This window comes from Homo sapiens, chromosome 17 (assembly GCF_000001405.40).
Source record: "Homo sapiens chromosome 17, GRCh38.p14 Primary Assembly".
Classification (NCBI taxonomy): Eukaryota; Metazoa; Chordata; class Mammalia; order Primates; family Hominidae; genus Homo; species Homo sapiens.
In genome coordinates, this window is record NC_000017.11 from 17,663,985 (window position 1) to 17,680,094 (window position 16,110).

The following is a 16,110-nucleotide window of genomic DNA, read 5'->3' on the forward strand; positions in this document are numbered from 1 at the left end:
CCATTTCCAGACAAGAGCAATAGATTATCAGCTCTCACTTGCACCAGAGTTGGTTCTGCCCTTGTAGAGCTCCCTTGGTAGGTAGTGAGATCCCCATCATGAGCAGCATCCAAGCAGAGACTGTCATAGCTGCTATGGAGAAGCATCAAGTATCAGGGGACAAGGGGTTGGACCAGACGGCCTGGCTTTGAGTTGTAAATGACAAAAAAAATTATTGGCAAACAAAACAGGAATATAAAAGCTTCAGGAACAGCTGGATCCAGCTGTCAGATGTCATCAGGAATCTTCTTCTGGATTTCCCCTTCCTTGGGGTTCACTTTCTTCTCAGAATAACCTTCCCTAGCCTAGGGTAGACCTCACAGCTGCAGGCTTACATCGGTCGTGGCCCCCAAAAGCAAGCTTAATAGATGTTTGTCAGATGAATGCTAGAAGCATGATAAGGTTGCGGGTCTCAGTCTAAGTAAATCCCAACTTGACCTCTGGGAGTCACTCTGAGGAGGCGCAGTGCTCATTCCTGTGTGCCAAATCCCATCATCTCTCAAACGTCGTATGATTGAGTTAGATTGTACTATGCACTTCACAGACATTAACTCATGGAAATCCCAGGCAGCCCTATGCAGTGGTCACAATCTCCATCTCATGGACGGGGACACAGGGTCCCAAAGAGGCAAAGTGTGGTACCTGAGGTAGGGCTAGAGCCACACAGTGCCTTACCAGGCTGAGATCAGGAGGCCGTACCTCTGAACGAGGGCAGGACTGTTCTTCACAGGCAGCTTTCCTCCAAGGAGGCAGAGGACGGCACTGGCACGTTCACTCAGCAGCCAACATTGGCAAGCACCCACTCTACCCCGTGGCCCGGGGTGCCACTGCCCATGGAGCTTGGAGGTGCCAACTGCTGCCAGTGACCTTGGGTAAGTCATTTTGTGCTTGATCCTTGCATCCCCATCTGTAAATGGGCAGGTCACCCCACTCAGAGGGGCAGAACTCATGTCAGTGGTTGAACGCTTCTGGCAGTACAGCCCAATAGAACTTCCTATACCAGGTCCCACAGGGTGGCCACACACCGCTCCTGAACACCAGAAAGTGACTAGTATAATAATAACAATTTTAAAGGCCGGGCGCGGTGGCTCATGCCTGTAATCCCAGCACTTTGGGAGGCCAAGGTAGGCGGATCACAAGGTCAGGAGTTCAAGACCAGCCTGGCCAACAGAGTGAAACCCTGTCTCTACCAAAAATACAAAAATTACCCGGGTGTGGTGGCATGTGCCTATAGTTCCAGCTACTAGGGAGGCTGAAGCGGAAGAATCGCTTGAACCCGGGAGGTGGAGGTTGCAGTGAGCTGAGACCGCACCATTTGTACTCCAGCTTGGGTGATAGAGTGAGACTCTAAAAGAAACACACACACACACACACACAATTTTAAGTTTTATTTCTTTTAAATTGATTGAAATGTACCTAGCTACACGTGGCTAATGACAACCATATTGAGCAGCAAAGCTCCAGGGTTCTAGACAAACAGCAGATATTAATTTTGGTTTTGTTCTGTTTTACTAACCCCACCCCATGCTCCAGTGCAGGCAGCCTGGTCCCTAGCTTGTCTCAGAGAGCTTTGCTGGCCTCCTTTGCCAGACCCGGTGGCCAGACTCATCATGGCCTTGGGACCTTTGTGTGGCTCTGGAGAAGAAAGAAGCTCCCAATAATGGCTGAGATTCAGTTGCCCACCAGCCAGCAGGATAGGGGCTTAGAACAGGATGTAAGATGATTTAAAGAAAAAAAGGGGCTGGGCGTGGTGGCTCATGCCTGTAATCCCAGAATTTTGGGAGGCCGAGGAGGGTGGATCACTTGAGGTCAGGAGTTCGAAACCAGCTTGGCCAACATGCTGAAACCCCATCTCTACTAAAAATACAAAATAATTAGCCGGGCGTGGCAGCCGGCGCCTGTAATCCTAGCTACTTGGGAGGCTGAGGCAGGGGAATCGCTTGAACCCGGGAAGTGGAGGTTGTAGTGAGCCGAGATCACACCACTGAACTCCAGCCTGGGTGACAGAGTGAGATCCATCTCAAAAAAAAAAAAAAAGAAAAAGAAAAAAGGAAGCTGGCTGTTTCTGGCACACCTGGGTTTTCCACTGGGTCTATACCAGGTGCACAAGTGCCTACTCCCCACCTCTATACCCGCACAACCCACCACGTGGACATGCACCAAACACACCCCCCAGCTGTGTGTGGACACAAGCAGCCAACACATGCTCTGTGGCTTACTCCTCCCATGCTCCTGGGCCTGGGCTGAGGGTCCAGCAGTTCACAGAACATCCACGTGGTCTGGGCTTCCAGAGCCTGTCCATCCTCCATCCCCTCTACCTGCCCAGGATCCCCGGGCCCCTGCTGGCCTACAGGAGTAAATGGCCACCTGCACACCCTACACACTCACGCCCAGCTCTGGATGGACATGAGGCAGGGCGAGGTCTGGGCGGTAGCCAGGAAATCCTAAGCTGTGAGTGTTCGTTCCCTGTTGCTGCTGTAAAGAGTTACTACACATGTCGGGGCTTAGAACAGCAGAAATGATTCTCTTGCAGTTCTGGAGACTGGGTGTCCAAAATCAGTATCACTGGTCTCGAGTCATGGCGTCTGTGGGGCTGTGCCCCCTCGGAGGCGCCAGGGGAGAACCTGTGCAGGGCCCCTTGCAGCCTCAGCCAGCTGCCCTGGTGATCCCTGGCTGTGTTTGCATCACTCTGGTCTCTGCCTCGGTGGCCGCGCAGTCTCCTCCTCCGTGCTTGTGTTGTCGAGTCTCCCTCAGCCTCTCTCTGTTGTGGACACTAGGGACAGCATTTAAGGAACCCCTAGATAGCCCAGGATCATCTCCTTATCTCAAGACCTTTAACTTTGCACATCTGCAGGAGCCCATTTTTTGGCTGTAAAGGGGACACCCACACGTTCCAGGGATGAGGACCTGGATATCTTTAGGGGCCATTTTTCAGCCTACCATCATGAGCCGCAGACACTCCGTGGCCAGCTCCCAAACTTAGCTCTGGCTGTGGGGCCGGGTACAGTGACAGACCTGAGACCCCATCAGCGCTGACACCATAGGCCCCAAGAGCCTGTGACCATGGCTGGTGAGAGCTCCCCAGAACAGTGGGGCTCTCAGAGAAGTAGAGTGAGGAGCACAGAGAGACGGATGGGTAGGTCCTGGGAGCAGGAAGGTATGAATTCAGGGGAGGCACACCGTGGCCTCCAAGCTGGGCCTCCACAGTGTCTCACTTCATCTTCCCACAGCCCTTGACAGATTAGGAAACCAAGGCTCACAGAAGCAACAGCTAAGTCCTCTGTGCAGCTTACCTCTGAACGGCCCCACAGAGAAGCTGTTAGCAGCTCCAAGTTACAGGGGGAGGAAGTGCCTGCTCAGAGGTGATGTGACTTGCCCAAGGTCACACAGCAACAGGTGGCAGGGCAGAAGCATGAGCCCTCTGGCTGACTCAAGCACCCACCTTCTTGGTGCCTCACCAGGTTCCCAGAAGCCAGAGGGTGAGCTGGTTTTGGAGAATGACCAGGATTTGGGGAAATGGAGAAGGAGGGTAGATGAACTTTGAGAGCTGAGTGGATCAATGGGATTTTTTTCTGGCTTTGGAGGGAGGTGACCTCAGCGTGGGGGTCAGTGTCTCTGCTATTGGGCAGGTTCCTCCTCTCAGGGGCCCCAGAACAGACTCCAACAACGTCCATCCCAGCAACAGGTGGGGGTCTTGGGAGGGTTATGTCTAAAGGGCTGTGTTCACCCCACAGATGACTCTCAGGGGCCTGCCATGGCCCCTCCCTCCTTGGTTTTTTCTCCCTTTTGTCTGCTGCCCCCATCCCACAGGCCCTGGAGGGCAGCAGGAAGGAGAAGGGCAGGGGTTGTGGCATGGCTGAGTGCACCCTCATTTCTAGGGACTCAGGAGAGCAGAAAGAGCTGAGTGCCCCCCAGGAGCAAGCCAGGAAGGGGCCATTCTTGCCTCCAGCGGTGGCTGGGAGCTGGCCCCATCAGGAATGGGGTAAGGCTCCAACCAGCAGCCCTGAGACCCCAGCCTGGCCCTCTAGGGCTGCACACAGAGTTGCACACACCCCACCCACGTGTGTGGACAGATGCACACCCCTCCCTCCTTACACCTGGGCCTCTAACAACAGTTAGATGCCACAGAGGGCCTGGGCACGCCATCTGTTGTTCAGGCCACACCCTGCTCTTGCTCAGGTGGAAAACTCTGGAGTGTCCTGGGCTCCTCTCCTCACCCCACGTCAGAAATTCTTGTCTATTCTACCTTCAAGGTATATTTGGAATTGGAATCTTTTCATTGCCCACAGCCCCACCCTGGCCAGGGCCCCCTGGATTCCCAGGCCTCCTGCTCCTGCCCTGGCCCCTCTCAGCAGCCAGGGTGCACTGTGAGGACCTAGGGGAGATCCCAGCTCTCCCTGAAGGACCCCGTCACTCAGGGTCTGAGCCAGAGGCCCCACTGTACACTGTGGCCACCCAAGCTGGTCCTGACCCTCTCTGTCCTTGCCTCCTGCTCTCTGCCCCCATGCATTGCTCTTCAGCCCCACAGGCCTCCCCACTGCTCCCGGCACACTCCTGCCTCAGGACCTTTACACCTGCTGTCTCCTCTTCCCAGCTCCCCACACATCTGTCCCCTGCCTCCCTCAGGTCTCTAGAGGCTCTAAGACCACCTTCTCTCACCTAACTAACAAGCTGCTTCCCCCTCCCACCCCCTCCCGCACCCCCTGGGACACTCATCATCCATAGCTCCTATATTTACCTTTCTATTTTGTCTGTCTCTCTCCTGCCCCAGATACCCACTAGAATGTTGGCTCCATGAGGACATGGATTTGTGTCTGCTTCAGTCACTGTTGCACCCCTACCCAGCCCAGCATCCGGGGCATTGCAGGCTCTAACACCTGTGGAGGGAAAGAGTGCAGACAGAGACAGGCAGGGGCAGGTGACCTGTACACACTCAAGGCCTAGCGGGGCACTGGCACAGCTGCACATGCCCACACCTGCGCACACACACGCACACGCGCGCGCGCACACACACACACACGGGCCCTGAGCTGAATGCCCTTGGCTCAGTGGGGCCTTGGACGACAGTCTGGCCCTGGCTCTTGGGCAGCTGGAGTCTTTGTCCTCACCCAAGACTGCCAGCCCACCCCAGCTGTGGCTGCTGATGCCCCAGATGGGCCTGCACTTCTGAAGAGAAAGGACCAGTTTCCTGCAGCCAAACCTCCAGTGCAGACCACAGAGCAGCCACGGCATCTGAGCTCCTCTCTCCCTCCCGCCTCTGCATCCCTGACTCATCCCCCACCCCAGGGAGGCAGCCTAGGCCCAACTGCCCCACTGAGCAGAAGGGAAGGCTGAGGCAGGAGGCTGAGCCAGCCAGCTGCCCCCGTTAAAGGAGAAGCAGATAGACGTGGCTTCCAGCCCAGCCCCTCCCTGGCTCAAGCGGTCACCTCCCAAACAGTCTGACCGCAGTCTGTGGGGGCTCCCTGGGCACCCTTGAGCCATGCGTGTGCAGCCAGTATGCACACTCCCGCCAGCCGGCCCCTCCAGCCCAGCTTATCACTGATGACTTTCCCAACAGAGATCGATAGAAAACCTTTTATCTCCTTCCCCGTGGTGGCTCAGACTCAGGCCTCAGAGCAGAGCTGGCTCCTGTTACTATGGTGACCCTCAAGGACCTCACTGACTCCCTCCCATTCACCCCCATCCCCACTCCCTCCTCCCTCCATCCTCCCTTCCCCTCCCCCACTCCCACTCCCTCCCCATCCCATCCTCCCTTCCCCACTCCCTGCCCCAGCCCCTCTCCTACTCCCTCCCCACCCCCATCCCACAGCCTGGGATCAATGCTGGTTCCCTACAGGGCCTGCACACCTCCCGGCTGCTCATGGCTGACAGGGAGGGGCCTGGGGGGCTCCTTGCACCCACCCAAGCCCCATCTGCTCCTGGTCTCGACCTTGCCAGTCCCCCACTTTCATGCCAAACTACAGCTCCAGTGCCCGATTGAGGCCTCCCACCTGCCCACACCGTCCTCAGCATTCTGTAACTGCTCACTTATATCAATGAGTTGTTTCCCCCTCCATACAGACAGATGGCACCCCTCCATACAGGGCTGCTGGGAGCTGTGAGCATTACATAAGCACAAACCTATGTTGAGTTTGGCCTGTGGCTGATGCTCAAGATATACTAGCCATTGTTAATAAGCCTCAATTTGTGCATTTATTAAATAGGTATAAAAGGTATTATGGTTGTAAAGATTAAATGAGAGACAGACACAAATAGTTTAGCTCACGGCCTGGCACGTTCTAAACACTACATCCATGAAGGGACACACAGCCTCCCTTCTTCCTTAGCCTCCTTTCTTCCTTTGTTCTTTGAAGGTGTTTAGGTATGGGGAGGAGGTGGGAGGAACAGGTGCATCCCCGCCCTCCATGGAGGCTCCATAGCCTTGGCCTGCAGCATGCAGGCCAAGGAGAACAATGCCCCATCAGGGTCCAAGTAACCTGTGCCCTCTCTCTGCCCACAAAGCTATATTGGTTGTGCCTCACTTTGGCGGAGGCCAGATTTTCCTCCCATGTTACCCTTGCCTTCCTGCCTGGAGGCCGGGGCTGCTCTCTTCCTTCTGCCTGGAATGCCTTGCCATACGGCCAGCCCCACAATCAGGGAACCATCTTCAAGGGAAGTGCTATGGCACCGAGATCTGGAGCCAGACCCCCCGGGTCCACATTGCAGCTGTGCCACTGCTACCCTCTGAGGCAGCTGCACAGAGGCCTCCCAGGACCCCACACCCTCATCCCCGGAGCCTACCAGTGCTCCCTCAGGTGGCAAAAGGGTCTTTGCAGACGTAATTAGATTACGGATCTTAAGATTGTTGCAGGCTATCTGGATGGGCCCCAAATGTAATCACAAGTGTCCTTGTATATAAGAAAGAGGCAGAGGGAGCTTCGACTGAGAGGAGGAGCTACGCCGATAGAAGCGGAGGTTGCTGTGATATGAGGATGGAAGCAAGGATTCTCCCCCAGAGCCTCGAGGAAGAGCCAGCCCTGCCCACACCTTGACTTTGGACTTCCGGCGTGCAGAACTGTAAGAGAATAGATGTGCATTGTTTTAAGCCACTGGGTTTGTGGTCATTTGTTCCAGCAGCCGCAGGAAGCACACACACACGCTGCCTCCTCTCCTCATCTGTAAAATGGGGCTGGTTCAGGACCTCCCCCCCGGGTTCTTGGGAAGCATAAGCGAGTTGGAAGGAGCAAAAAGCTTAGAAAAGTCAGGGATACTATTTTTTAAATTGCTATGCCACAGCGATTTGCTGAGGAAGACAGCATTCCTCCTGCCTTCAAGAAATTCGCCACCTGGAGCAAGGGAGACTCACAAAGAATCATGATCCCAGAGGCTGTTAGAGGCTTGTAGAGTAGGCCTGGGCACACTGCCCAGGGAGCGGGAGCCTGATTTGACCGGGGGGCCTGGGAGGGCATCCTGGAGGAGCCCACTCTTGAGCTAAGCCTGGAAGGATATGGAGGGAGGAGCCAGACAGAGCAAGAGGGGAAGGGCATCTTGGGCAGAGGGAACAGCACGTGGGGCTGCTCAGAGGAGTAAGGGAAGAGGTAGTTGAGGAACCTGCAAGTCAGTCTGCAGGGATGGGGCCTTGGGGGCATCACGGAGGTGGGGGCAAGCCAGGGAGCCACATACTGGAAAGGAACAATTGCTTGGGCCACCGTGAGGAGGGTGAATGGGGGTTTGAGACCGAAGGCAAGGAAACCAGTTGCAGAGATTGTGGTCTGGCAGGTAGTGAAGGGTAAAATCAGTGGAATTTCAGGACAACCTGAAGAAGGTGGGTGAGCAGAGGCAGTGGAGGGTTGGCAACTTCCTGCCAAGGGGAAGGGATGGGGGTGGAGCAATTCCCGAGATGGCAATGACAGTGATAATGACAACTAGTGCTAAAATTAGTGCTTACTATATGCCAGGGAATGTGCAAAGTGCTTGATACGCCTTATCTCAGTCTCAATCCTGGAATTGTGATTATCAGCAGGGAATAGAGCCCAGAGATGGAATCCAGAGCTGGGAACAGCGAGGTGTGGGAGGCTGGGTGGCGGGGGTGGGGAGGGGAGGTGAGGAAATGGCTTTCATATAAACAAGATGAAAAACTGTTCAGGGACTGCTCTTGTCATACTTTTCTATTATTAAAAAAGAAAGAAAACACATGTTTTATTAGTAGCTAAGCACTTTTATTTAATAACAAAAAATCTGTAGGGCCTGAAAGCATGGCAATTCTAACCCCTCTATTTAAAAAAGACCTCTGAAGTACATATCCCTTAGGACTGTGCATGGGTAGTCAAAGCTTAATGACCAGCGGGGGATCAGGAGGGTGGAGGGGTCTGTGGTCAGCAGCTCGGCTGTCCTGGTGGTTTTATTTCTTGAGCTGACAGTGGTGAATGCAGGAGTGATCAGTGAATTATCTTCCATACCTTCTTGAATATCTTAAATATTTTATAATTAAAGATTGGGTGTGACTGATATTCTCCGGCTCTACATGAAAGCTGGTTGGAGGTACTAAGTCACATTCACAAATTACAGGATCTCTGTCCTCCTAGTCAGCCTGAGTTTCTTTCACCACATCCTGGCTCTGTTTGCATACCCCCAGAAACGGGAAGCTTCCTCTCTCTCTCTTGAAATTGCCTGGGGCCCTCTTTGAACAGCTCTAATTGTGGGAAAGTTCCTCATAAAGAGCCAGAAGCCTGGTCCAGTCCCTCTGCCCACTGGAACCACACAGTCTGTGTGTGATCACACAAAGCCCAGGCGGCCCTTTAGATCTTTGAAGACAGTGCTCATTCTCCTTTTCTCCCCATTCCAAATTTTTCTTCTCTGTGTAAAGTCTCAGTTCTTTTTCAGGCAAGTGACAGAAAACCAGCTCAAACTGGTTTATGATAAAAGGTGAATGTATTGGCTCAAGTGACTTAAAGTCCTGGGGTTGCTGAGCTTCAGGCGCAGCTGAATCCAGGTGCCCAGAAGGTGTCTCCATGTCTCTCAACTCCTCATTCTTCCCCATTGGCTCTGTTTTCAGACCCACAGTCTCAACAACTACCCCTGGAGGCTCCAGCAAAGCTCAGTGCTTCCAGCAAAACTCCTGGAGGGCTTAGGTCATTCGAACCATTCCTGAACCAATCCCTGTGGCCAGGCAAATGGGGCAGTTTGGTCAAACCTGAGTCACGTGACAATCTCTGCATCCTAGAGGTAGGGACCGCCCAGCCTGAACCACATGGGCCATAAGTGGGAAAGAATGGTGCCCACAGGAAAATTGATTGTAATTACCACCAAAAGACTAGATGTATTAGGTAGGACAGAGGCTTTATAACAGAGATCCACAATAACACCGGCTTAAACAAGATGGAATTTTATCCCTCGCTAACTCCAGATGCAAGAGATCTTGGGCTGATACAGTTAATTGTATGATTAGGGTGCCCCATAGCTGAGCATTCATTATCTGAGTTGGAAGTTAAGAGTTGTTAAAACATGAATATATTTAGTACTGTCCTGGCCACTTACTTCGTTCCCAGTCAAGCATCTCACCCTACCTAGCACCAGCATCTGTCCACCCCCCATCTGCATCTCTTCTGTCTGTCAGGTCTGCTTATGCAAGCTGGTAGCAAAGGAAAACTTCAAAGTTGTAGAATTTCTTGAAGTTGATGAGAGTTACGTTGGAGAGCTCCTGGGTTCTGCACACAGTGGCTGACAAACCAAGGATCTATCTATCTGGCTGGGTCAGCCCTGTCTAAATAATGAAAACCCCCAACGTGAAGAAAGATGAACCTGTGCTTTGGAAGAAAATGATTTGAATGTCATAGAACTCAGAGTGGCCCAAAGAACTCAGGGGGATGTGATGAAGCATTCTGGTTGTTAGGACCCAGAAGGTTCTAGTAAGGACCATCAGGCAATTTTGTGGGAAGAACTATGCCTACTCCAATGAACTTTTTGTACTCTAATTGTCTTACTCCATTTTCTGATGCTAAAACAGAATACCACTCTGGGTAATTTGTAAACAATAGAAATTTATTTGGCTCATGCTTCTGAAGACTGGGAAGTCCAAGAGTATGGCACCAGCATCTGGTGGGGGTCTTCATGCTGTATCATCCCATGGTGGAAGGCAGAAGGGCAAGAGAGCACTAGACAGTGAGCAAGAGAGAGCTGAACTCATTTTTACAATAAATCCAGTGTCTTGATCATGAGCTCACTCCTTCAATAAAGAGATTAATCCATTCATGAGGGTTTTGCCCTTATGACCTAATCACTTCTTAATAGTCCCACCTCTTAATACCTTCACAATGGCAATTAAATTTCATCATAAATCAGCCGGGCATGATGGCTCACCACTGTAATCCCAGCACTTTGGGAGGCCAAAGAAGGCAGATCACTTGAGGTCAGGAGTTCAAGACCATCGTGGCCAAAATGGTGAAACCTTGTCTCTACTAAAAATATAAAAATTAGCTGGGTATAGGGGTGGCCACTTGTAATCCCAGCTACTCAAAAGGCTAAGGCAGGAGAATTGCTTGAACCCAGGAGGCAGGAGTTGCACTTAGCCGAGATCATGCCATTGCACTCCAGCCTGGGTGACAAGAACAAAACTCCATCTAAAAAAAAAAAAAATAAAATAAATAAATAAATTTCATCATAAGTTTTGGAGGGGACAGTCAAACCATAACACTAAGTATTAGCACATTAATCTAAGAATTAGCATATTAACCTAAATGTTGTTTGTGGAAGATAAAATGTGTATATTTTCATAGTTTAAATTTCATTTTTCAAAACAAAATTCCAATTAAACATTTTTTTCCCAATTACTAAGAAATGTTGGTTCCCAGAGCTTTGACTTGTGGTCAAAGTGGTCTTTTTCTTGGGATAATGAGACCCTTCTTTAGAGTGGGTTCAATGTCTGTCTCACTTGCCAGACTATGGGGGCTGTGTGGTGGGTCCCACATCATTATTCCTGGAGATGGAATCTAGAATGAGGTTTGGCTCGGCTGCACGCAGTGGCTCATGCCTGTAATCCCAGCACTTTGGGAGGCCAAGGTAGGCAAGGCAGATCACTTAACTCAGGAGTTCAAGAGCAGCCTGAACAACATGGCAAAAACCCATCTCTACAAAAAATACAAAAATTAGCTGGGCGTGATAGCGTGCACCTGTAGTCCAAGCAACTTGGGAGGCTGAGATGGGAGCGGTGCTTGAGCTTGGGAGGCTGAGATGGGAGCGTTGCTTGAGCTTGGGAGGTTGAGGCTGCAGTGAGTCATGATTGTGCCACTGCACTCCAGCCTGGGTGACAGAGTGGGATCCTGTCTGAAAAAAAAATATTGCCTAGAGCTAAGTGGGGCTCTCACCTGCTCCCTCTCTTCTCTCTGCTAGAGACCAGAGGCCTTGAAGGAAGGAAGCCCAAGGGTCTCTCCTGGCTCTGCTTCCCCATCACTGCCTCCACTTCCCCGCATCCCTTTCCCTGGCAGAGGCTTCTTGCCACAGGGCTCTGGGCACTCACAAGACCTACAAAAGAAAGGTTCACATTCACATTTGTCTTCTCTGTAGAAGTGCTGGAGGCTGATGGGGTGAGGGGGAGCAGCAACAGTTGGTGGTCCAGAGTTCTACAATGTTGAACTGTTTTAAATCGTCATAAGCCCAGGAGGCACGGATTGCTACACTCCTCGTTAGAAACCAGAGTCTCAAAGAGGGTGAGGAGGTACCCAAGGCCGTGCTGTTGGTGGCACGGTGGCAGAGCTGGGGCAGGAGTTCTGATTTTCCATCTCATTCCTCTGTTACTGTCTAAGCAGAGAGCCTGGGTGACAGCTACCTACACAGAAGAAGGTATTCTGGGAGAGTTTCCTCCCCTCTCTAGGCCTCTATGTTCTCTGCAAAATGGAGATAATAAGACTGAAATGCACATAGTAGGTGCCAAATAAGTACTAGCTACATGCTTGCTAATGGGAGTCCTCCTGCACACTCACACTCTGCCTGGGCTCTGTAAGAACAGCCCGGAGCCTCCATCCAGTTTTCATCGCAGAGGAGGCGGGGCGGCAGCGTGGGCAGGAGCTCAGGCCAGGAGAATCCCTACTCTAAGTATGACTGTGTGATCTTGGGCAAGTGACTTCATTCCCTAAGTGTGTTTCCTCATCTGAACAAGGAGGCTATTGAAATGCAGGTGAGACCTAGTGAGACAGCGGCTGCGGGAATCACCTGGCCACAGTAAACGCCCTTGCATCCTATTGAGTGAGCCAAGGATAAGCGTGGTCCCTGGCAGGGTGCAGGATTCTATCCTGAAATACACCCCCTCCACTTTCTCCTATTCCAGTCCACCGGGGCCTCTCCTCCAGGCAGGAAACATGATCTCCTTTTGACCTATGAGAAAACAGACAGGAAGTTCAAGGCCACACAGATGTGAGTGTTAAGAACCCTGGGGGGAAGGTGTCTGAAACCCAAGGCTGTGTGTGTGTGTGTGTGTGTGTGTGTGTGTATGTGTGTGTGTGTGTGTCGGGGTGTGCTGAGGGGTTGGTCAGCCAGGTGATTTAAATGCGGGTATAGAACAATAGGTAGTGGTGGGGCCCCGAAGAACTTAGATTCCTTAAAGATATTTATTTTCTTTCTCTTTCTCTTTCTCTTTCTTTCCTTTCTTTTCTTGCTTTTCTCTCTCTTATTTTTTTTTTTTGAGATGGGGTCTCACTCTGTCCCCCAGGCTGGAGTGCAGTAGCACTGTCATGGCTCACTGCAGCCTCGACCTCCCTGGCTCAAGCGATTCTCCCACCTCAGCCTTCCAAGTAGCTGGGACTACAGATATGCACCACTATACCTGGCTAATTAAAAACAAAACAAAACAAAACAAAACTTTTTTTTTTGTAGCGATGAGTCTCACTATGTTGCCCAGGCTAGCCTTGAACTCTGGGCTCAAGTGATCCTCCCGCCTTGGCCTCCCAAAGTGCTGGAATTACAGGCATGAGCCACTGCACCTGGCAACGTATGTCAACTTCAAAATTTTCACTTTTTGCTCTGCTTTCCAATCAAAACAAACCTAGCAGCCTGAGTTCGGCCTTTGAGCTGCAAGTTTGAGACTCTGCCCCAACACTGACTTTATTGAGCCTCTGCATTGCATAGCGTGCACACCCCTGCTCACCCTTCTACCTGTGTGCAACTAAGGATGACAAGCAGGGTCAGCAGCAGAAGTGTCTTGGGGCTAGCTCTGCTGACAGTGATCCCTGATCAGTTCCTAGTTCTCTTCTGAGAAGACTGAGCCCTCTCAACCAGCATCATTCAGAGCAGTCTCAGGATGGTTAGGCCTATGGCTGTCCTCCTCTGGAAGGGCCCTCGTTTGTTCAGAAGCCTCCCTGGTTAAAGCAGGCAGAGGAAAATCACTCTTGAAAGCTCAACTCACTAATCACCTCCTCCAGGAAGCCTTCCCTGAATTCCTTGACAGGACTAGGTCATTACTCTGCATGCCTGGGCACCACAGCACTCTTCATGGGTAACTTTCACATTGCAACCCAGGGTCTAACCCAGTGTCTGACCCACAGTGGGCTCTCCATGCATGAAATGGGTGACTAAACTCACCTGCTGTGTGACTTTGGATCAGTGACTTCACCTCTCTGAGCCTTGATTTTCTTATCTGTAAAATGAGTTGAGGCAAGACAGCATTCAGAGGGTCCTTGCAGATGTGATTAAATAAATTAAGAGTCTTCTTGAGATGGAGGGATTAGCCTGGATTATCCAGGTGGACCGGAATGGAATCACAAGGGTCCTCATGAGCAGAGGCAGGAAGGTCAAGGGAGGAAGTAGAAGCTGGGACAATGGAAGCAATTGTTTTCTTGCCTGTTCTAGCTTCTGGAGGTCACCAAGGGGTCACAAGCTGAGAAACACAGGCAACCTCCAGAAATTGGAAAAGGCAAGGAAGAGATTCTCTCCTGGAGGCACCAGGAGAGCTAGCCCAGCCCACACCTTGGCTTTAGCCCAGTGAAACTGATTTTGGAGTTCTGACCTCCAGAACTGTAAAGAATAAATCTGTCTAGGCTGGGCAACATGGTGAAACCCACTCTCCACAAAAAATACAAAAATTAGCTAGGCTTGGTGGTGTGGTATGTGCCTGTGGTCTCAGCTACTTGGAAGGCAGAGGCACGAGAATCACTTGAACCCGAGAGGCAGAGGTTACAGTGAGCCAAGATTGCGCCACTGCACTCAAGCCTGGGCAACAGAGCAAGACTCTGTCATAAATAAATAAATAAATAAATAAATAAATTAATTAATTAATTAATTTGTGTTATTTTAAGCCACTTGTGGAATTTGTTACAACATCCCTAGGCACCTGGCACACAGTAGGTACTCAAAAGTGGCAGTTCTGGTCAGGCGTGGTGGCTCACACTTGTAATTCCAGCACTTTGGGAGGCCAAGGCAGGAGGATCACTTGAGCCCAGAATTCAAGACCAGCCTGGGCAACATAGCAAGATGCCATCTCTATAAAAAATAAATTGGCTAGGCATAGTGGTGTATGCCTGTGGTCCCAGTTACTCAGGGGGCTGAGGTGGGAGAACTGCTTGAGTTCAGGAGTTTGAGGCTGCAGTCAGCTATGATCACACCATTGCACTCCAGCCTGGGCAACAGAGTGAGACTCTGTCTTACACACACATATACACACATTCACACTCACACACAAAAGCAGTTGTTAGTACCTTGACCGCACACCCTCTTCCATCTGCCTGCATATTCCTTCCTCCTCTCACTCTCTGGGACACCCATCCCCTTTGCAACCCAGGGCTCCCTTCCTGCCCATCCTCTGAGGTCTGCCTCAATCGCCACCTCCTCCAACCCTTCGCTGAACTGACATCCAGAAATGCTAATCCCTTGAACAAATGTGCTTCCTTGAGTGGTGCCTGAGCTATGGCTCCCAAAGAGGCCAGGCTTGTGATCCTCTTTGTACCCCCAGCCCTGCCTACAGGGTCCAGTGGCCCCAGTCATGTAAACTTGATACCAAGGAATTTTCAAAACAAAAAATACCTAATTCCAAGGCCAGAAAATTGACTCTCCTTGGGGTTCCAGCTGGTCTCCCACCCTCTCCAGGTGGAGAAGCTAGTCTTGGGGACCCTTGTGTGGGAACCAGAAATCTCCCAGCAAGACCTCCTTGTCTTGCCTCCCACTGGGGTCCCTAGAACCAGCCTTCCCTTAGGCTCCACTCAGGAGCAGGTTAAGGTAAGGCAGGGAGGGCAGGAGACCAGCTCGGGGTGGAGATTGGGAGCCCTGGATGGATGATAGGGACTGTTCCCATTAATCTAGCATCTTAAAGCAGTAATAGCACTTACTGCATGCCAGGCTGTGAGCTAAATGCTTTCCACACGTACCTCATTCAATCCTCTCAACAGACCCATGAGGTAGGTACTATTATCCCCATTCTACAGATGAGGAAACGGAGGCTCAGCAAGTTAAGTAGTTTGCCCAAAGCCACCCAGCTGGGCATAGAGGAGCCACGTTTAGAAACCAGATTTGCCAGGCGCGGTAGCTCATGTCTGAAATCTCAGCACTTTGGGAGTCCGAGGCAGGTGGATCACCTGAGGTCAGGAGTTCAAGATCAGCTTGACCAACATGGAGAAACCCTGTCTCTACTAAAAATACAAAATTAGGTGGGTGTGGCGGTGCATGTCTGTAATCCCAGCTACTCGGGAGGCTGAGGCAGGAGAATTGCTTGAATCTGGGAGGCAGAGGTTGTGGTGAGCCAAGATCGCACCATTGCACTCCAGGCAGGGCAACAGGGGCAAAACTCCGTCTCAAAAAAAAAATACATAAATAAATAAATAAAAATAAACCAGATCTGTCATCCAGAAACCGCACTTAAAACAAGCTTAAAACAACACAGTTCGCACTGGGATCCAGCTCTGTCTTGCTCTTGACATTCACCCTGGGAGACGGGTAGCCAAGTCCAGTAGGAAGGACTGTGGGGACCTGTGTTGATTCTGTCCTGTAGCTTGAGAACCTGGACAGGGGACTTCACCACTCTGCGCCTGTTTCCTCATCCACAAAATGTGATGAGCCGACCTCACAGAGGGGGCACCAGGATCTAATGAGACCATGCACAGAAGGGGCACA

General features: G+C 51.4%; 1 long non-coding RNA gene across 1 annotated transcript, besides 3 other annotated features; it reads right to left on the reverse strand.

The window, feature by feature from the left end:
- Positions 3,491-3,992: an enhancer, noted in NCBI's record as "H3K4me1 hESC enhancer chr17:17570789-17571290 (GRCh37/hg19 assembly coordinates)". NCBI's record gives its function as "activates a minimal SCP1, AML or CMV promoter by ChIP-STARR-seq in primed H9 embryonic stem cells {active_cell/tissue: H9 hESC(primed)}" and the evidence as "EXISTENCE:reporter gene assay evidence [ECO:0000049][PMID:30033119]".
- Positions 3,993-4,492: an enhancer, noted in NCBI's record as "H3K4me1 hESC enhancer chr17:17571291-17571790 (GRCh37/hg19 assembly coordinates)". NCBI's record gives its function as "activates a minimal SCP1, AML or CMV promoter by ChIP-STARR-seq in primed H9 embryonic stem cells {active_cell/tissue: H9 hESC(primed)}" and the evidence as "EXISTENCE:reporter gene assay evidence [ECO:0000049][PMID:30033119]".
- On the reverse strand, positions 10,042-13,704 carry SMCR2 (Smith-Magenis syndrome chromosome region, candidate 2). Its single transcript, NR_131243.2, has 4 exons — positions 13,591-13,704; positions 12,226-12,387; positions 11,382-11,538; positions 10,042-10,172 (listed from the first exon to the last, which is right to left on the reverse strand). It is a non-coding gene; the product is annotated as a Smith-Magenis syndrome chromosome region, candidate 2 (long non-coding RNA).
- Positions 11,420-12,048: an enhancer, noted in NCBI's record as "H3K4me1 hESC enhancer chr17:17578718-17579346 (GRCh37/hg19 assembly coordinates)". NCBI's record gives its function as "activates a minimal SCP1, AML or CMV promoter by ChIP-STARR-seq in naive H9 embryonic stem cells {active_cell/tissue: H9 hESC(naive)}" and the evidence as "EXISTENCE:reporter gene assay evidence [ECO:0000049][PMID:30033119]".